The following is a 22,839-nucleotide window of genomic DNA, read 5'->3' on the forward strand; positions in this document are numbered from 1 at the left end:
TAGAAATACTGGTTTTTGTGCATTGATTTTGTATCCTGCAACTTTGCTGAAGTTGTTAATTAGATCTAGGAGCTTCTGGTCACAGACAATGGGGTTTTGTAGGTATTGAATTATATCACCTGAAAACAGAGATAGTTTGAGTTCCTCTCTCCTTATTTAGATGCCTTTATTTCTTTCTCTTGCCTGATTGCTCTGGCTAGGGCTTTCAGTACTATGTGTAATAGCAGTGGTGAGAGTGGGCATCCTTGTCTTGTTCTGGTTCTCAAAGGGAATACTTCCAGCTTTTGCCCATTCAGTATGATGTTGGCTGTGGATTTGTCATAGATGGCTCTTATTATTTTGAGGTATGTATCTCCAGTGCTTAGGTTGTTAGTGTTTTTGACATGAAGAAATGTTGAATGTTATCAAAAGCTGTTTCTGCATCTTTTGAGGTGATCATGTGATTTTGGTTTTAGTGTTGTTTATGTGATGAGACACATTTATTAAATTGCATATATTGAACCAACCTTGCAGCCAAGGGATAAAGCCTACTTGATTTTGGTGAATTAGCTTTTTGATGTGCTACTGGATTTGGATGGTTAGTATTTTGTTAATGATTTTTGCATCTATGTTCATCAAGAATATTAGCCTGAAGTTTTCTTTTTCTTGTGTCTCTGTCAGGTTTTGGTATCAAAATGATGACGGCCTCACAGTGTGAGTTAGAGAGGAGGTTCTCCTCCTCAGTTTGTTTGAAATAGTTTCACTGGGAATATTACCAGTGTATCTTCTCTGTATAACTGGTAGAATTCAGCTGTGAATCTATTTTATACTGGGCTTTTTCTGGTGGGAAGCCTTTTATTACTGATTTAATTTCAGAACTCACTATTGGTCCACTGAGGGTTTCAATTTCTTCCTGGTTCAGTCTTGGGAGATTGTTTGTTTCCAGGTATTTATCCATTACTTGTAGGTTTTCTAGTTTTTGTGAGTAGAGATGTTCATAATTTCAAAGTTTATGAGGGTTTTTAAAAAATATTTCTGTAGGGTCAGTGGTAATGTCACCTTCATTATTTCTGATTGTGTTTATTTGGACCTCTCTGTTTTTTTTCTTTATTAGTCTAACTAGCGGCCCATCAATCTTATTTATTTTTTTAAAATATCCCTAAATAAAAAAGTAGTCTCAAAATTTTTTAAAATAATTTTTCTCAGGTGGACTGGCATTTCACAATAACAAATTAATAATTTATATGTATATTTTACAGTGATAAAATATATATCAATTTTCTCTTCAAGATTAATTTATAATTTATGAATCAATATACAATATGCATAAATTAAAATTAAAAACAAACATTTTACCCAAAATGCTAGGTTTCTTGGATATCTGTAACTCATTATTTAAAAACAGATAAGTAAATAAATAAACCAACTAAGCCAGTAAAGGGCAGACCGGGAGGAAGTAGGAAAGAGGAGAGAGAGAGAAGGAAGGAAGGAAAGGAGGCAGAAAGGATTGATTTGCAAGTGTTGAATAATTATAAGCATGAAATAGGCTTCTCCCAAAATAAGTTTGATAAAATGTATGTAGTTTATGTAAGTCCTGTATTCTTTCACATTTACATCTTCAGTGAATGTCTTTGAAAACAGTATCAAGAACATCAATGGAGAAAATAGCATGTCTTCGATTGCATATCCTTGGAAATTTAAGTGCAATCAAACAATAAATTTTTTATATTTGGTCCAGAAACTTATTTGGGGAAAGTTAAACAATACCTTAGCTGGTTGCAGAAGATGCAGTAGCTTCTCTTTTCAGTACCCAGTGCCCTAATTGCTAACTTCTGAAGACATGTGTCATGGCTTTCAGTAGGGGACTTGAAAAGCTTATAAAACTAGTAAAACTGAAGGGAAAAATGCTTAAATCTTTACCTTCACGGAACTTGTCTTCAAATACAAGCATAATATAAGATGTACATCTTTTTATCTGTCCAGGCTATCCAAAGGAGCCTGTCTTTTAAAATATCTTCACCACTATTTATTTCTCTAAAATGTTGCTGTGTAAATCTTCATTATACTTACTACATCTGAAATTATTTTGTATGTATCAACGGTGTGTCGAAGGTATGCCATCCCTTAACTGAATGTAAAGTGAATGAAGATTTGGTCTTTTTGCATATCACTAGCAACCTGGGATAAGACTTAGAACACAGCAAGTCTCAAGAAATATTTTTAATTAAATGGTAAAGGAAAATGTTATTATCCCCATCGTTCTACATACTAAGACTTTTTTCTAACCACAAAACTACCTACCTGGCTCATACTTACTGACTTTTCTCTTTGTTCTATTTCTTTCCCACATGTTCCAGGCATTTTAGAGACTTCCCATCTGATTTTGGTTATTGATAGTTTTCCCATTCTTAAACGTGCTAGATATTCCCAATGATTAACTTTTAAATACCTATATGGTCCTGACCATGACATTGCTATGCTCAATATCATGCCAATAACATAAAATATTCAAGGCCTCCACAATTGGCTCCATTGTAGGTTTCTAAACACATCATCAGTTTCCCTAGAACTTCGGCTCAGGTACATAGAGTTTTCTTTGTTTTCTTAATTGCAGCAAGAATAACAACTTCATTCCCACAAGTGCTTCCTATGCACCAGGAACTATGCTAAGCACTTTTAAATCCATTATCTCATATAATCTTCATAACATTCTTGTAATTTAGTTACCATTGTTATATTCACAGTACAGGAACTTTGTCACAGAGCCAAGGAGTGTCACAGCCAGATTCAAACTCCCATAACTCTAACCTCACATTCTGTTCTTCATGCCACTGTTTCTCTGCTCACAGAATTTTTTCCGTCCTTGTTTTCTTGCTGTCCCTGTTTTTACTGTTTCTCTTTTCCCGTGCATAGAATTTCTTGTATGCCCAGCTCTCCAGTTATTTACATTGACTCAATCAGCTTCAAAGCCTAATTCACATACTACTTTCAGCTTGAAGCCCAAGTTTTAATTAAAATTTTGTACTGTTTTCATATCTCTTTATACTTCTTATATAGCAATGGCTGTATTCTTTGTTGTGCTATTATAAGGCCTATGTAGTCCTGCTTTTATAATCCCAAGTATATTTGTATCCCCATTGATGTCTGGTTTCCAAATACATCCATTAAAAATCTCTGAAATGATTCTCTTAAGAATGTGAACAATGAACATAAAAGAAAAAAGATCTCAAATATTTCACTAATATTTTCTCAATTTCTTTTGTTTAAAAAAATTAAAGATGCATATAATGAAATGTCAGAACTTAAGGAGAATAGCAAGAGGGAATTGTCCAACTCCATTTCTAATAGCCTTAGCTGGAATCCCAGGGAGGCAAAAAGGCAATTTTCAAGTTAAATCACGAATAAGTCCAAACCCAATTTTGTAATCACTTTTCCAGAGCTGATAAGCTGAGGGTTCATGAGGGAGCACTGCCTATTTCCTGTGAGACAACAGACAACATGCAAACTCCTGTCATTCTGTTCCTGCCTAAATATGCTAAAATAAGGAAAGGAGATTTATACAGGAAGGAAGGTAGCAAGGAAGGTAGGAAGGAAGAAAGCGATAGAAGGAGGAATAAAGGGGGGAGAAACATTAGGAATTTTAAGTGTATAATGTTTTAAATGTATACTTTTAAATGTATAATTTTAAATGAATAATAAAATGTAAAAATTAAGTATGAGAAAAATTATATTAATTTTTTTCTTATCTTTCTTTTTATGTACCTGTTAAGTTTCAGTAATTTACACAGTGTCTATATTAGTCTGTTCTCACACTGCTAATAAAGACATACTCAAGACTGGGTAATTTATAAAGGAAAGAGGCTTAATTGACTCACAGTTTAGCATGGCTGGGGAGGTCTCAGGAAACTTATAATAATGGAGGAGGGGGACGCAAACATGTACTTCTTCACATGGCGACAGCAAGGACAAGTGCTGAGTCAAAGGGGTAAGAGCCCCTTATAAAACCATCAGAACTCGTGAAAGTCACTCACTATCACAAAAACTGCATAAGAGTAACCTCCCCCATGATTTAATTACCTCACACCAGGTCCCTCCCATGACATGTGAGGATTATGGGAACTAGAATTTAAGATGAGATTTGGGTGGGGACATAGCCAAACCATATCAGTGTCTTAATCCCTTTGGAGTGCTGTAACAGAATACCATAGACCAGGTGGGTTATAAATAAAACAAATATATATTTCACACCTCTAGAGGCTGAAAAATACAATATCATGGCTCAGGCATATTTGGTGTCCGGTTGGGGCTGGTTTTCTAGTTCCTGGTTATATAGCTATCTTCTTATTGCAACTTCACAGGGTGCAAAGGCAAAGGAGTATGCTGGAACCTCTTTTATAAGGGCACTAATTTCATTCTTAATGTCTCACCTTCATGACCTAATCACTTCCTTAAGGTCCCACTTCTTAATATCATCACATTGGGGCTAAGATTTAATCCATGTTTTAAGAGAACACAATCATTCATTTTGTATCACACAGAATGTTATAAAGTCATGATGCTACAGTGATGTCAAGTATGAGATACCCACGTGGTACACAGAACTGAATAAAATCCAAATTAGAAGAATAGGTAGAATGGTCTCACTCTGCTCACCATCCTCTACCTTTACTGCAAGTCAGCACAATGCCACACTAGACAGTATTTTCCTGGGCTTGCAGGGAGAAAAGACAACCAGAAGTAGTCATCCAGCTTCCCTAGCATTCTGAAACACTTCCCAAGAAGCCCAATCCAGTCTCACCTCACAGGGAGTACTAAGGGAAATAGCACAACTTGACCCTCCACCCACTTCCCCTGTCCCCCTTCCCCTCCCCCAGGGTGGGGGGTTGGGGGCGGTTAGGTAGAAACAAAGAAAGTGAATAATGCATGCATTCTGGTTGAACCTCTGTGTTCCTGTGATCAATCAGAGGTATCAAACAAGCTCATACGGTACCACAAAGCTGAGCTGGTTGACTTCAGAAGCATTATGGGAAGTAAAATCTAGCTTGAGCTCCTAGACTGCTAGTCTCCCTGCCCAGCCTCAGAGCCCACGGCAGTGACCTGCCCAGTCAGAGAGACTGCCACCTCTGTTGATTCTAGAGATTCAGAGGGGCTGATCCAGTTTGACCCAAGAAGGCAAGCATTCCATTGTATACTATTAAGCTGTAAGAACAAAACAAAACAAAACAAGAAATTCTGCCATTTGAGACAACATGGATGAACCTAGAGGACATTATGTTAAGTGAAACAAGACAGGCACGGAAAGACAAAAACCATATGATCTCACTCATATGTTAAATTTAAAAACTTGAACTTAGAGAAATAGAGCATAGAATGGTGGTTTCCAGAGGCTGGAGCATGGAGGAAGAGAAAGGGGTAGATGTAGAATCAGAAGACATTGGTCACAGGGTACAAAGTTATAGTTATTTAGGAGGATAAAGTTCTGCTGTTCTATTGCACAGTAGAGGGATTATAGTTAATAATAATGTATTGTATATTTTAAAATAGCTAGATGAGAAGATTGTGAATGTTTTCACCACAAATAAATGATAAATGAGGTGCAAATATAACAATTACTCTGATTTGTTAATTACAAAACGTATACGTGTCAAAACATCACTTTGTACACCATATGTACAATTATTACTTATCAATTAAATTTTTTTAAAAAATTGTAGTAGTTTTCAAAATACATAAAACTTAGTCTCTCTGGATGTGTGAACTAGTTCAAACAGGTATTTTCCAAAAGGCATTGTGTAAAACACTTATTCAAGTTATATGCATTGAAAAAGATATTTCTAAGGCATAGTCAGAAAATGCAGCATTTTATATTATGCATGTGCACTTTAATGAAGGACATTAAATATTTTAATAATTCCTGCATAAAGCCCTTGTTTAATTCCGGTTAATCATGAGTTTCTCAAATTTGCTTGACAAAGTTAACCAACCCCTTATCTTTTTTTTTTTTTTTTTTCGTTTTGCATTTGAAATACACCAGCAGAGTTGGAAGGAGAATAAGGAATAACTCTCTTGGTTACCACCACAGAATACTGCCACATGACCCAAAAAGTCTTAAAAAAAAAAAAAAAGTATTCTGTTAGTGGTAAAAATGTTACAGGACACTTCAAATAAATTTGTTCTACAATTCGCACCTTGATTTTGCCCTTCATATTTAGAGTTGTACTATCAGACAATAAACCAAACACAAAAGCTTTCATTTCAATGTTCTGATGATATATTTGATCTTCTGTTGGCCTTGAAAAAGGCACTCTAGAGAAAAAAGACTATCTAATGATTTTTAAATGCCATTTACCCCACCACTACTTATAAATGATTGCACCATCAGTGTCCTTATAATTGGGATAAAGATTGTGTGTTAACTGGCTCATTCTTACATGTGTGATCAATGAGAACAGGGGCTGGACCACATTGCCTGAAAATTATTTTAAGTTACTATTTTTTCCATAGAAGAAAAGAGAAACAATAAAAGAGGAAGTGGTCAGAGAAAGAGTGAACTTAAAAGAGTATTTTTTTGTGTGGGTATTTTAGTGTCGCCCTTCTGTGAATTTCAAGGCTAAGAATTTGAAATTATAATCAGTAATGTGTAGATATTTCCTAAGAAAAAAATCTATCCCTATCCTGAGGAAAGTCTCTTTATTAGGATACTGTCATCCATTTCTTAAAGACAGAGAATTTTTAGTACAAAAAAGATGTAACTATTCTTAGATTGCTAAAGCATTATCAGTAAAGCATTGGGCTTTATTAAAGACCTTTATCAGCATTTAGCATTTTCATATATTATATATATTTAATATCCCTGTATTCCTGAGGTAAACTTACTTACTTATGGCATACTATGTTGCAACTCTTCTATAAATTTCAAATTGGTGGCATTTCATTAGGTAGTTTTGCCCCTATATACAGAAATAAGACTGGTTGTGAGTTTGCAATCCTGGTCTACATTAGATATATGACAGTTGTGCAGTATGCATAGAATATTTTTCCTTTCTTTTAATATTTAAAAATGTTTCTCAATTTAGATAATTCACTGATTAAAAACATCTGCACTCATATTCAATTTGGGAAATATCATTATAATATTTTATTAATCTCTTATTTGGAAATTGACAAATTCTGTTGTATTGGATGTTCTCAAGTTAATATTGATTCTTTATGTTTTTTAATAAGGTAAATATTTTATAGAGTTTTTCTAAATAAGCAGAATTGTACAGTATCCAATTATAATTTAACTGTATTTGTCTTGTTCTTGTTAATTTATCTCTTCTTGTTTTGATTAAACTTCACAAATTTGTGTGTATATTTAATATTATTTTAAAAAGAGCTGCCTATAAGCTCCTGAATGGGGCTGCTGCCTTCTTTCAAAGATGCGCTGTACAGAGAGGAGGAACCTAGAAATGCAGTCTGGCTACAGCAGCTTTGCCGAGCTGTGGTGAGCTCTGCCCAGTTCGAAATTCCCAGCGGCTTTGTTTACAGTGTGAGGGAAAAAATGCCTACTCAAGCCTCAGTAATGGTGGATGCCCCTCCCCTCACCAAGCCCGAGTGCCCCAGGTTGACTTCAGACTGCTGTGCTGGCAGCGAGAATTTCATGCCAGTGGATCTTAGTTTGCTGGGATCCATGGGGTTAGGATCCACTGAGGTAGACCACTTGGCTCCCTGGCTTCAGCCCCCTTTCCAGGGGAGTGAACGGTACTGTCTTGCTGGTGTCCCAGGCACCACTGAGTATGAAAAAAATTCCTGCAGCTAGCCCAAATGGCCACCCAGTTTTGTGCTTAAAACCCAGGGCCCTGGTGGTACAGGCACTGGAGGGAATCTCCTGGTCTATGGGTTGTGAAGACCATGGAAAAAGCATAGTATCTGGGCCAGAATGCACCATTCCTCACGGTACAGTCCCTCACGACTTCCTTTGGCTAGGGGAGGGAGTTCCCTGACCCGTTGCACTTCCCGGATTAGGCAACACCCCTCCCTGCTTTGGCTCACCCTCCATGGGCTGCATCCACTGTATAACCAGTTCCGCCGAGATGAGCTGGGTACCTCAGTTGGAAATGCAGAAATCACTTGCCTTCTCCATTGATCTACTGGGAGCTGCAGACCAAAGCTGTTCTTATTCAGCCATCTTGCCAACCAACTCCCATCTCCCTGGGATAGAGCACATCTGGGAAGGTGTGGCTGTGGGCTCAGCTTCAGCAGACTTAGAGATTCCTGCCTGCCAGCTCTGAAGAGAGCAGTGGATCTCCCAGCACAATGCTCGAGCTCTGCTAAGGGACAGACTGCCTCCTTAAGTGGGTCCCTGACCCCCGTGCCTCATGACTGGGAGACACCTCCCAGCAGGAGTCAACAGACACCTCATACAGGAGGGCTCTGGCTGGCATCCAGCGGGTGCCCCTCTGGGACGAAGCTTCCTGAGGAAGAAACAGGCAGCAATCTTTGCTGTTCTGCAGCCTCCACTGGTGATACCGTGGCAAACAGGGTCTGGAGTGGACCTCCAGCAAACTCCAGCATACCTGGAGCAGAGGGGCCTGACAGTTAGAAGGAAAACTAGCAAACAGAAAGGAATAGCATCAACATCAACAAAAACGACACCCATACAAAAAGCCCATCCAAAGGTCACCAACATCAGAGACCAAAAGTAGATAAATACACGAAGATGAGGAAAAACCAGCATAAAAAGGCTGAAAATTCCACAAACCAGAATGCCTCTTCAAAAGATCACAACTCCTCACCAGCAAGGGAACAGAACTGGACAGAGAATGAGTTTGACGAATTGACAGAAGTAGGGTTCAGGAGGGGGTGGGTAATAACAAACTCCTCTGAGCTAAAGGAGCATGTTAGAATCCAATGCAAGGAAGCTAAGAACCTTGAAAAAAGGCTAGACAAATTGCTAACTAGAATAACCAGTTAAGAGAAGAACATAAATGACCCAATGGAGCTGAAAAGCACAGCACAAGAACTACATGAAGCATACACAAGTATCAATAGCTGAATCAATCAATTAGAAGAAAAGATATCAGAGATTGAAGAGCAACTTAATGAAATAAAGCATGAAGACAAGATTAGAGAAAAAAGAATGAAAACGGAATGAACAAAGCCTCCAAGAAATATGGGACTATGTGAAAAACGAAACCTATGTTTGATTGGTGGACCTGAAAGTGACAGGAAGAATGGAACCAAGTTGGAAAACATTCTTCAGGATATTATCCAGGAGAACTTACCCAACCTAGCAAGACAGGCCAACATTCAAATTCAGGAAATACAGAGAACACCACAGAGATACTCCTCGAGAAGGGCAATCCCAAGACACATAATCATCAGATTCACCAAGGTTGAAATGAAGAGAAAAAATGTTAAGGGCAGCCAGAGAGAAAGGTCAGGTTACCCACAAAGGGAAGCCCATCATACCAACAGAGGATCTCTCTGCAGAAACCCTATAAACTAGAAGAGAGTGGGGGTCAATATTTAACATTCTAAAACAAAAGAATTTTCGACCCAGAATTCCATATCCAGCCAACTAAGCTTTACAAGCAAAGGAGAAATAAAATCCTTTACAAACAAGAAAATCCTGAGAGATGTTGTTGCTACCAGGTCTGCCTTACGAGAGCTCCCGAAGGAAGCACTAAATATGGAAAGGAAAAACTGGTACCAGTCACTGCAAAATCATGCCAAATTGTAAAGTCCATCGACACCATAAAAAAACTGCAACAACTAATGGGCAAAATAACCAGCTAGCAACATAATGACAGGGTCAAATTCACACATAATTATACTAACCTTAAATGTAAATGGGCTAAATGCCCCAATTAAAAGACACAGACTGGCAAACTGGATAAAGAGTCAAGACCAATCAGTGTGCTGTATTAAGGAGACCCATCTCATGTGCAAAGACACACATCGGCTCGAAATAAAGGGATGGAGGAATATTTACCAAGCAAATGGAAAGCAAAGAATAGCAGGGGTTACAATTCTAGTCTCTGATAAAACAGACTTTAAACTAAAAGAAAGATCAAAAAAGACAAAAAAGGGCATCACATGATGGTAAAGGGATCAATGCAACAATAGGACCTAACTATCCTAAATATATGTGCACCCAATACAGGAGCACCCAGATTCATAAAGGAAGTTCTTAGAGACCTACAAAGAGACTGAAACTCCCACACAATAATAGTAGGAAACATTAACACACCACTGTCAATACTAGACAGATCAATGTACAGAAAATTAACAAGGATATTCAGGACTTGAACTCAGCTCTGGACCAAGCAGACCTAATAGACATCTACAGAACTCTCCACCCCAAATCAACAGAATATACATTCTTCTCAGCACCACGTCACATTTATTCTAAAATTGTCCACATAATTGGAAGTAAAACATTCCTCAGCAAATGCAAAAGAATGGAAATAATAACAAACAGTCTCTCAGACCACACTGCAATCAAATTAGAACTCAGGATTAAGAAATTCACTCAAAACCGCACAACTACCTGGAAACTGAACAACTTGCTCCTGAATGAGTACTGGGTAAATAACAAAATTAAGGTAGAAGTAAATAAGTTATTTGAAACCAATGAGAACAAAGACGCAACGTACCAGAATCTCTGGGACACAGCTAAATCAGTGTTTAGAGGGAAATTTATAGCACTAAATGCCTACAGAGGAAAGTGAGAAAGATCTAAAATCAATACCCTAACATCACAATTAAAAGAACTAGAGACACAATAGCAAATTCAAAGCTAGCAGAAGATAGGAAAAAACTAAGATCAGAGCAGAACTGAAGGAGATAAAGACACGAAAAACCCTTCAAAAAAATCAGTGAATCCAGGAGCTGGTTTTTTAAAAGATTAACAAAACAGACCACTAGCCAGACTAATAAAGAAAAAAAGAGAGAGGAATTAAATAGACACAATAAAAAATGATAAAGAGGAGATCACTACTGATCCCATAGAAATAAAAAGTACCATTAGAGAATACTATAAACACCTCTGTGCAAATAAACTAGAAAATCTAGAAGAAATGGACAAATTCCTGGACACATACATCCTCCCAAGACTAAACCAGGAAGAAGTTGAATCCCTGAATCAGCAAATAACAAGTTCTGAAATTGAGGCAGCAATTAATAGCCTACCAACCAATAAAAGCTCAGGACTAGACGGATTCACAGTCAAATTCTACCAGAGGTACAACGAGGAGGTGGTACCATTCTTTCTGAAACTATTCCAAACAATAGAAAAAGAGGGACTCCTCTCTAACTCATTTTATGAGGCTAGCCGCATCCTGATGCCATAACCTGGCAGAGACACAACAAAAAAAGAAAATTTCAGGCCGGTATCCCTGATGAACATCGATGCAAGAATCCTCAATAAAATACTGGCAAACTGGTTCCAGCAGCACATCAAAAAGCTCATCTACCACAATCAAGTTGGCTTCATCCCTGGGATGCAAGGCTGGATTCAACATATGCAAATCAATAAACACAATCCATCACATAAACAGAACCCATGACAAAAACCACATGATTATCTCAATAGATGCAGAAAAGGCCTTTGATAAAATTCAACACCTCTTCATGCTAAAAACTCTCAATAAACTACTTATTGATGGAACGTATCTCAAAATAATAAGAGCTATTTATGACAAACCCACAGCCAATATCATACTGAATGGGCAAAAGCTGGAAGCATTCCCTTTGAAAAGCGACACAAGACAAGGATGCCCTCTCTCACCACTCCTATTCAACACAGTATTGGAAGTTCTGGCCAGGGCAATCAGGCAAGAGAAATAAATAAAGGTATTCAAATAAGAAGAGAGGAAGTCAAATTGTCTCTGCAGATGACATGATTGTATATTTAGAAAATCCCGTTGTCTCAGCCCAAAATCTCCTTATGCTGATAAGCACCTTCAGCAAAGTCTTAGGATACAAAGTCAATGTGCAAAAACCACAAGCATTCCTATACACCAATAATAGACAAAGAGCCAAATCATGAGTGATCTCTCATTCACAATTGCTATAAAAAGAATAAAATACCTACAAATACAACTTCACAGGGTCCTTCACAGGGATGCGAAGGACCTCTTCAAGGAGAACTACAAATCACTGCTGAAGGAAATAAGAGAGGACGCAAACAAATAGAAAAATATTCCATGCTCATGGATAGGAAGAATCAGTGTTGTGAAAATGGCCATACTGCCCAAAGTAATTAATAGATTTAATGCTATCCCCATCAAGCTACCATTGACTTTCTTCACAGAATTACAAAAAACTACTTTAAATTTCATACATAACCAAAAAATAGCTCATATAGCCAAGATAATCCTAAGCAAAAAGAACAAAGTTGGAGGCATCACGCTACCTGACTTCAAACTACCTTTAGGATATTGTCTAGCATATTTTTCTCATTTCTAGTTCATTAATATTGATATATGTCTTTATTATTATCCTTCTTTAGGCTTTATTTTGCACACTTATTTCTGAAATTAAATCCATTGCTTTTTTTCTCATTCAAAAGACAATGCATAATTTAACTTTATGTATATACTGTTAAATACAGCTTGAAAATATACCATAGATTTTCATACATGTGTTTCCTATCTTACTAGTTCATTGGTAATTCGTAACTTATGTGTGTATATTGACCTGACAATTACATAAGGCATTTCTTAAATTAAAAGGTACTTTGTTTTCCTTCTTAAAATTTGCATATGTTATTAATGAAAATAAGCCTTTTTGAATTAACTTTTATAATGATATATTAATTTGTCACTTGTAATTTCTTGTATGTATGTAAATATAAATAATAAAAATATATGCATTATATTTATATGAAATGATTAATGTAATAAATACTATTAGGTGTATCTGTTGGTCTAACTTTAATTTTTTGTTATTAAACTTCATACATCACTATGATTTAAATATTATTTTTATGAATATCAAAGGATTGGACATCAACTTTTAGCCCAAACTTAAAAGTGTTGTTATTTGGAAGTGATTTTAGTTTATTTCCAATTATAGGGGATCGCATCACATTTTATATTTGGATTTCTTTTTTTTTTTTGCTTATTACAATTTCTTTTTATTTTTTGTGCTGACTGCTTACCTTTTTATTTCCCTAAATATTTGGTATTTATACTTTACAACTTTTTAAATAATTGTGTTTACTCAGAAGTTTTTGACAAATTACTTTGAACAAGTTTTACCTTATTATTTCTGTAAAAACAGAAAGTATATGTTAGTTCGCTCACAGTATGAAATGGAAAATATATCATGCATCTTTCTCAAAAATCTTACATTATGGTTTAATTTTCTATAATCTAGGATTTAAGAATCAAGTTTTGATAAATAGGCATTGACATAACATTTGGGTTTCTTTTAAAAAGTGAATATTTATAATATGTGTGTATAATCCTTATAATGTTAATAATCATTTATATATATATTTATATATCTATGTGTATATGTATGCATGTATGTTTCCCATACAGTTGCCTGCAGAGTATTGGTCTGCTTTAATTTTTAAATTAAAATTGAGTATTTTCTTCTAGAAATTAATTATATATGATTAAATACAAAGTTATAATGTTTTATATGTTGATATTATATTTCAATATGTGATAAAATTATTATTGCATGTATAATGTTAACAAGTATTTTAATATGTTTTATAGATAATTATCTGTATTTTTCCTATCACCATATTACAGAGAATTATCCATGTCCATATTTCTAATTAGTTATTAGGATTGCTAAAAGTATACTTCAAGTACAGAATGGATATAGCATATTTAATTTCATCAAGATCTATTAGTAGATATAAAGGGTTTTAACAAAATTTAAATAATTTTTTGATGGATATTCTTATGTAGCCCACCTACATAGTTGCAAGTTACTCTGGATGATGGAGTAGAACTAATGTGTTGCAGCATGTATATATTTTTAGGTTTATGGGGCTGCCAAATGAACTTTTGATATAGCATTGCTCTTTAATGCTTCTACCAGCATCGTGTCTGAATACCTATATCTTCACATCTTGGGCGATTCAATAACATTATTCTTTTTAAAAATGTGTGTACTTTAATGAAATATAAATTTTAAAAAGGGAATGATTATCAATTAGTTACCAATCTGGAGGAGCTCTTTAAAAAACTGTTGGTTGTTTTAAATTCTCTCCAAGCGAAAATGTTCCATAAATTTTCTCACACAGAACATGTCTGTATACCCAGTAACCAGATCAAGAAAGGGAACATGACCAGCACCTCAGAAAACCCTTTCATGCTCCCAGTTCTTTAACCACTCCCAGTAAGGGTAACTAACTACTATCCAAATTCCTAAAGGTGTAAGTTAGTATAGTCTATTTTTTGTACTTTACATAAACAGAATTGTGGAATATAAACTCCTCCATTTTGCTTATTTGGTTCAACCTTGTATGTTTGAAATAATCCACACTGTTCTGTGAAGTAGTTAGTTCATTCTCATAGCTATATATAGCATTCTGTTGTGTGACTATCTCACAATATGTTTACCTATTATATGTTCATTGGTGTTTAATAGTTTCCATATTGTGTGATTATAACACAGTATGTTTACCTGTTCTTTGTTGGTGGGTGTTTGAATAGTTTCCAGTTTGAGGCTGTTAGGAGTAGTTATGCAACGATTATTCTTTTTTATTTTTGGTGAATATATGTACACATTTCTGTTGAAAATATACCTGTGAGTACAGTTACTGTGTCATTAGATATATTTAGTTGTAGTAAATATTATAAACACTTTTCCAAAGTAGTTTTACAAATTTAACATCCAAATAATTTCTTTACAAGGCTGCCAGTATTTGGTATTTTCTCTTTTTTATCTGACACATTATTCTGGATATATAATGATATCTAATAATTTTAATTTGTTTTTTCATGATCAGTGATAAACTTTCACATGTTTATTGACCATTTGGATAATTTTAGCTCATTTTTGCTATTGAGTTGTCTTTTAAAAAATGTCAATTTATAGTTTTTATTAAGAAGGTCTTTTATATGCCACGTATCTTCTCATACTCCAATGATTTTTTTATATTTTACATGATCTCTTTCTCTCTAGATAGCTGAAAATTATTCTCATTTTAATTTGCATTTTTTAGCTACTACCTAGGATAAACATTTTTATGTTTATTGGCTATTTTATTTTTCTCTCCAGTGAAATGTCTTGTACTATTTGCATAATGTTCTTAGGCCGTTTCTCTTTTTCTTATTTATTTTCAGTAATTTAAAAATTGGGCCTGGATATTAGGTTTATTTTTTTCAGTTTCAAACATTTCCCAGTCCATGCTTATCATTTAACATATTTAAATTCCTTCATAGCTAACGTATAAAGTCCTAACTTTATGGTGTTTGCAGTTTGAATATTGGTTAACATGGCCTTAAATGTCTTTCTCAATAACATAAACATTTTATTTTTGTACAAAAAATTGGTTACTCATATTTATTTACTTTTTGATTTATAAGATTGTCTAGAATTTGCTGTTATGAAGGTATTTGAATAATTTTTCTGTAAATATTATTATTTTTCTCTTTTAATTAAATGTAGTGATTTACATGGGTTACATTTAGATAGTACAGGAAGAGATGTATTATAACAGATTGTCTCCCACATTTATGGAGCCAGAGAAACCTCATGATCTGCTCCCTATAAGTGATAGGGCCAGAAAAGCTGGTGGTATAGTTCCAGCTTCAAAGTCTGAAGGCCTGAGAATAGGGTGTTGGAGCATAGGAAAAAGTGAGGCCAATTGTGTAATTCTTTGATTTCTAGTCCTAGACCAAAGGGCTGAGAATTAAAAAACTAATGTCTAAGGGTAGAAGATGGATGTCCTATTCTAAAGTGAATCTCTTCTAGAAATACCCTCATAGACACAGCTATCTGAGGATATGTTAGCCTATTCAGGTTGACATGTAAAATTACAATAATTCCCCTTTGCTTGCAGTATGGCTTTCCAGGGTTTCAGTTACTCACATGGTCAAGCAAAATCTGAAAATATCAAATAAAAATTCCTGAAATAAGCAAACTGTAAGTTTTAAATTGTGTGCTGTTCTGAGTAGCATGATGAAATCTTGTGCCATTCCACTCTGTCCTGGCTGGGATGTAAATCACCCCTTCATTCAGCATATTTATGAGGTGTTATGCTGCCCACCCTTTAGTTACCTAGTAGCTATCAACTATCACAGAATCTCAGTGCTTGTGTTCAAGCAATCCCTATTTTACTTAATAATGGCCCCAAAGCACAAGACTGGTGATGCTGGCAATTCACATATGCCAAAGAGGGAAGCTTTAAAGTGCTTTCTTTAGGGAAAAGGTGAAAGTTTCTCACTCAACAAGAAAAAAATATCTTACGCTGAGGGTACTAAGATCTATAGTAAGAATCTTCTTATCTATGAAATTGTGATTAAGGAAAAAGAAATTTGTGCTGATTTGCTGTTGAATCTCAAACTGCAAAAGTTATAGCCACAGTGCATGATAAGTGCTTAGTTAAGATGGGAAGGACACTAAATCTCCAGATGAAAGACATTAACAGAATGTGTTCCAACTGACGGCAATCAGATTTGGTATTATCTGTGGTTTCAGGCATCTACCAAGGGTCTTGAAACATATACTCAATGCATAATGGGGACTACTGTAGTCATCACAAAAATAATAAAATTTTTTAAATAGGCAAAAGAATTAAACAAACATCTCTCCAAAGATATATGGATTACAATAAAGCACATGAAAAGATAGCGAACATTAGAAATTATGCAGGTTGATGCAAATTGCAATTTGACACCACAATGAGATACTACTACATACCTATCAGAATGCTTAAAATTCAAAAGCCTTCATAATAACAAGTGTTGAGAACATGTAGTGACTCTTGAAAACTGCTGGTGGGAAAATAAAACACTGCACTTGCTTGGGAAAATAGCCTGGCAGCTTTGTAAAACATTAAATTTATGCTTAGTATGTGACACAACTATTCTTCTTCTAGATGCTTTACTCAAGGAAAATGACTGAATCTATCCATTCGATATTTTCAAAATAAATATTTAGAGTACCTTTATACTACTAGCCAAAAACTAGAAATCAAGAAAATGTTCAAAATACATTAATAGACCAAGCAACTGTGGTATAAGTGGAGTTTAACTCAGTAATATAAAAGAATAAACTATCAATGCATGCAATAACCTAAAAGAATATCATAATTATCATGCTATTTGAAAGAAGGATATTGACAGTATCAAAATCATACTATATGATTTCATGTATGTAAAATTCTAGAAAATGCAAACTGATCTGTCATTTTGTTACCTGGATATGGCAGGTAGAATCAAGCAGGAGGGGGTTAAAAAAATTACACAGAAAGTTTGGGAATTGATATATTATCTTGAAGATATTGATGGTTTCATGGGTGTATGCATTATGTCAAAACTTATCAAATGATACACTTCAAATATGTGAAGTTTACTTCTTGTCAATTACATCTAAATAATGACATTTACAAAAAGACATGAAGAATTTACAAGAGAAAGGGAGCATCAGACACTGTATACCACTATCTCATGCCTTGATTTAACCTGAGTTAAACTGAGCTTCTGGAGCTGGTTGCCTATTTTATTTGCAGGAAATACAGAAGGCAAAAGACCATGTTGAATGATACCATGAGCATATATCAGCAAAATTTTAAATGTTTTCAAATCTATGGGGTTAAATTTATGGCAATGATGGGATTTGGTTCAGGGATGTGATTAACTTTGTATCTTAACCTGGATGGTGTTTATAAGATATATTGCCTATGCAATGTATTAAGATAAATATTTATTTTATATGGGTTGTGGTTTTCATTTGTAACCATAGAAGTGTTTTAAAAATGTAATTTACCATAGGAGTGAATTTACTAAAAGATCTTTTAAAATGGTCTTCACCTCTATTATAATTTCCATCCCAATAATCCATTATCCACAGGTGCCGGTTCTCCAGAAATGAATTTTAAGACTCTTTTCTCTCATACCAAGTTAGAACTGCAATTCCTGGACAACAAACAACAATTTTGTTTGTTTTTGCGTATTGCTTTCCACCTATAACTTTAAACTTTCCGTTACTATAGTCACTAAAATCCCTTTATCTGCTAAATCCAATGATTGCTAATAAGTTTCATCCTACCAAAGTTACATGGGATGTGGCAGGCTTAAAAATGGCCTGAAAAGATATCCAGGATTAAATTCCCGGAATCTGTAGATATCACCTTATTGAGTAAAAGGTTCTTTTCAGATGTGATAAAGTAAAGGTGAGATGAGGAGGCTATTTTTGATTATCTGAGTGGGTCCTAAATGCAATCACAAGTATCCTTATAAGAAAGAGACAGAGAGAAATTTGATACACACAGAGGAGGAGGTGATATAAAGACAGAGCAGAGACAGAGAGTTAAAGTTGCTGACCTTGAAGATTGGAGTCAAGTGGGCACAAGCCAAAGAATGCCAGCAGCCACCAGGTGCAGGAAGCAGGGGATGGATTGTCTCTAGAGCCTTTAGAAGGAGTGAAATCCTGCCTTGATTTCAGCCCAAGTTACTGATTTTGAACTTTTGGCCTTTAGAATTCTGAGAAAATACATTTGTTTTGTTTTAAACTATCAATCTGTAGTAATTTGTTCAGCGTCCACAATAAACTCACACACGCGGCATACAGACTTACTCACTGCTCCACTATTGGATTGTTTTCTTTCTTTAATTTCCAGACATTCATGTTTCCCTCCTGATTCTCTGAGCAGTCAACAGCTCTGCATTTTTTAAGTTTAATGCTCAAATTTCCTTTTTTCCCTCCATTTTCCCTGATATATATATATATATTTAGCACTCTTCTCAATCCGCTTAAGGATTCTTATTCACTCTGTATTTTTCTCTTCTACTTATGGTAAAATGATCTTCAAATTCCTAAACCAAGTCTAGCCATTTCTAAGTCAAAATCCATAAATCTAACTTTCTTTGGACTTCTTCACTTGGATATCACGTAACCGCCAACTCATACCCAATGTAGAGAATCTCCACTCATATTTTTCTCACAAAAATTTTTTACTGTTCTACCCTCTATAAAAAACAGTCAGTCATCTCAGAGAAGACATTTCATACTCATAAATTCTTCATTTCCCTTGTCTCATGTAAACAATCACTTCCAAATGACTGTTTCCAGTTCATGTTAATGGGAAAACAAAGTTGGCAGAGCACATTATTTTCTCTGTTTTAAATTATAACAACTAAATTACTATTTTAAATTTCATTTGTAAAAATTATTGCTGACCAGGTGCAGTGGCTCACACCTATAATCCCAGTACTTTGGGAGGCCGAGGTGGGTGGATCACAAGATCAGGAGATTGAGACCATCCTGGCTAACACGGTGAAACCCCATCTGTACTAAAAATACAAAAAATTAGCTGGGCGTGGTGGTGCACACCTGTAGTCCCAGCTACTAGGGAGGCTGAGGCAGGAGAATGGCGTGAACCTGGGAGGCGGGGCTTGCAGTGAGCCGAGATTGGGCCACTGTACTCCAGCCTGGGTGACAGAGCAAGACTCTGTCTCAAAAAAAGAAAAAAAACTATTGCTAAATTACTACAAAATAGAACTTTTGATTTCATAACAATTGGCATTGATATGTACTGGCAGGAAGTCTTCATCAATCTCAAATTTAGAACTCTTTGTAGTTTTGCCTTTGACCTTTACAAGCAGTTCTGGGAATATGTCATAGGAATAGAACATTGTTGGATAGAAGGAATTAAAAATATTCTAGAGGATTCTAGGATGAAAGCAAAGCAGCAAGGATTCCTGGATACGTATACCCACCTAGACAACAATTGCATTGGCAAAATTAGTCTGATGTAAGTATTTGGGAGTTCCAGAGTCTATTCCAAGGATTGCAACTCCCAGGGGAAGATTTGCAAGGTAAATTTCAGTTAATGTAAGCCTATTTCAGCTGCTAGCAGTGTAGCAGCTATCCAACCCCTAGAATCCATGGCAGGCAACTGTGTATATGTTCCTGGAAAGGCTGAACAGAGCTTGTGAGAGCCAGAGTGGACAAAAAGATCCTGTCCACCAAAAATTGGGGATTTATTTTTTAATTGTTGATTGCTTCTTTTGGTCTTGGAGGCATAGATACATAAGTGAGCAGCAATTGTTGTACCTCTTGCTCTAATGTTGCAAGCCCCTCCCACTTTGATGAAGCAACGTCCAGGAAATTTAAAGGGCCAGAGCCTTTTTTCTCCCCATCTTCATTTTTCTCTTTTTACCCATTTAGGAATCAGACAGTAAAACCCTAGAATATTCAAAAGAAAACCAAATATATGGAGGAATTAGAAAGTTATTATATACAACCAGTGATAGTCACAGGCTTAAAAAGGCCCTCAAAAGATCTAAAGCTTATATATCTGACTAATTTCTTGCACAAAGACAGCCTACAGCAGAAAAAAAAAATACACCCCACAAAAATCAACAAAGCTTGGGGTAGGAGCAGAATCTGATGATTTGAGTTATTAGGTTCAAAAGTTCTGCTTTTATCAATAAAAAAATCACAAAATGTACCAATAAATGGGAAAGTATGGCCTATTTTAAGGTAAAAAAGTAATCCAAGAGAAACCATCCTGAGAAGGACCAGCTGGCAAACTTGCTAGTCAAAGACATTAAAACAATTGTTTTAAATATGTTCAAAGAACTAAAGAACGATGTGGAGAAAGTCAAGAAAACAATGTATGAACAAAATTAAAATGTCAATAAAGAGATATAAAACATAAAAGTAATTATGAAACTTTGAAGTACAATTACCGCAATGAAAAAGTTGCTGGAGGGATTCAAAGTTAGATTTTAGCAGTAAGAAGAAAGAATGAGTGAACTCGAAGATAGGAAAATTGAAATTATTGAGTTTGAGGAACAGAAAGAAAAAGCACCGAAGAAAAGTGAACAGAGCCCAAAGGACTTGTAAGTTACCAGCAAGAAGACTAAAATACATATTGAAGTTCCAGAAGGAGAAGAGAGAGACAAAGGGGTAAAGAAATTTTTCAAAGACAGAATGACCAGAATTTGCCAAATTTGATGAAAGACATGGATATAAACATTCAAGAAGCTGCATTAACTCCAAGTCAGATAAACTCAGAGACCTATATTGACACATTATAATCAAACTATAAAATGCCAAGGACAAAGGGTAAAACTTGAAAGCTGAAGGAAAGAAGTAAAGTAGCATGTAAAAAAGGATTCTCAGAGAATGTCAGCAGATTTCTCCTCAGAAATTTTGGAGGGCAAAAAGCAGTGAGCCAATATATTTAAAGTACTATAAAAAAAAATGAAAGACTTTCAACCAAGAATCCTACATTCAGGATAACTGTCCTTCAAAAATGAGAGACATTAAAACATTCCCAGATAAGCAAAAACTGAGGCAGCTTATTACCACTAGATCTGCCCTACTAGGTACTATACGAAATCCTGTGAGTTGACATGAAAGGAGACTAAACAGTAAAACTTACAAAGGTGTATAAAGAAGTAAACATTCCAGTAAAGGTAAATACGTGGGTAATTATATAAGCTAGCATTATTTTAATATTGGTTTGTAATTTCACTTTTTGTATTCTACATTACTTAAGAGACTAATACATTTTTTAAAACTATTGTTAGTTTAAAAGTTAGTATTCTTGTAACTTTACTTTGTAACTCCACATTTGGTTTTCCATATAATTTAAAATAATAATACATAAGACATATTTATATTTTTGGAAACATGTAAAGATGTAATTTTGTGACATCAACAAATGAAAAGGGTCAGGATGAAGCTGTTTAGGAAAAGAGTTTCTGTATGTTATTGTAAGTTAAACTGGTGGAAACTCAAATTATAATGCTTTAACATTAGGATGTTAAATGTAATCCCCATGGTAACCACAAAGAATCTAGTTATAGAATATACGTCATGAACAAAAGGTAATGAGGAGGGAATGAAAAGCTTTCACTGCAAAAAAAATAGACTAAACACAAAAGAAAACAGTAACGTCAGAAATGAGATACAAAATTAATGTAACGCATAGGGAACATAAATAACAAAATAAAACAAGCCTCTCCTTTGTAATTACTTAAATGTAAAGTTGTTAAGCTCTCTAAATGAAAAGACAGAGATAAGCAGAATGGGTATAAAAACATACTCCAACTAGAATGGCGTGAACCCGGGAGGCGGAGCTTGCAGTGAGCCGAGATTGCGCCACTGCACTCCAGCCTGGGGAACAGAGCGAGACTCAGTCTCAAAAAACAAAAAACAAAAATACAAAAAAAAATTCCTCCAACTATATACTATCTACAAGTGACTCACTTAGATTTAGAGACACAAATATGTTAAAAATGAAATATTGAAAAAAGACTTTTCTTGCAAATAGTAAGCAGAAGAGAGCAGGGTTAACAATAATTAAGCCAGTCACAAAAAGACAAATACTGCATGATTTATGTGACTTATATGATTTATATGACTTATATGAGGTGCCTACAGTAGTCAAATTCACAGATAGAGAAAGTAGAATGGTAGTTGCCAGGGTCTGGGGCAAAGGGGTATGGGTAGTCATTCTTTAATGGGTAGAGAGTTTCAGTTTTTCAATGAAAGGACCTCTAAAGATGGATGATTTCGATGGTAGAAAAACAATATGAATATACTTGATATCACTAAACTGTACACTTAAGAATGATTACATTTAAAATTTTATTTTATATTTATTTTATTACAATAAAAATGTTATTTGAATAAAAATAGTATTTCAGTCTTATTTCATGCACAAAGGGC

General features: G+C 35.1%; 1 long non-coding RNA gene across 1 annotated transcript in view, besides 1 other annotated feature; it reads left to right on the forward strand.

Moving 5' to 3' along the window:
* NRXN1-DT (NRXN1 divergent transcript) overlaps positions 1 to 22,839 on the forward strand; it is a 1,375,317-nt gene that overhangs the window by 851,073 nt on the left and 501,405 nt on the right. The window lies entirely within an intron of this gene.
* Positions 7,756 to 8,256: an enhancer, noted in NCBI's record as "H3K27ac hESC enhancer chr2:52118567-52119067 (GRCh37/hg19 assembly coordinates)". NCBI's record gives its function as "activates a minimal SCP1, AML or CMV promoter by ChIP-STARR-seq in primed H9 embryonic stem cells {active_cell/tissue: H9 hESC(primed)}" and the evidence as "EXISTENCE:reporter gene assay evidence [ECO:0000049][PMID:30033119]".

The sequence above is a fragment of the Homo sapiens genome, chromosome 2, assembly GCF_000001405.40.
Source record: "Homo sapiens chromosome 2, GRCh38.p14 Primary Assembly".
NCBI lineage: Eukaryota > Metazoa > Chordata > Mammalia > Primates > Hominidae > Homo > Homo sapiens.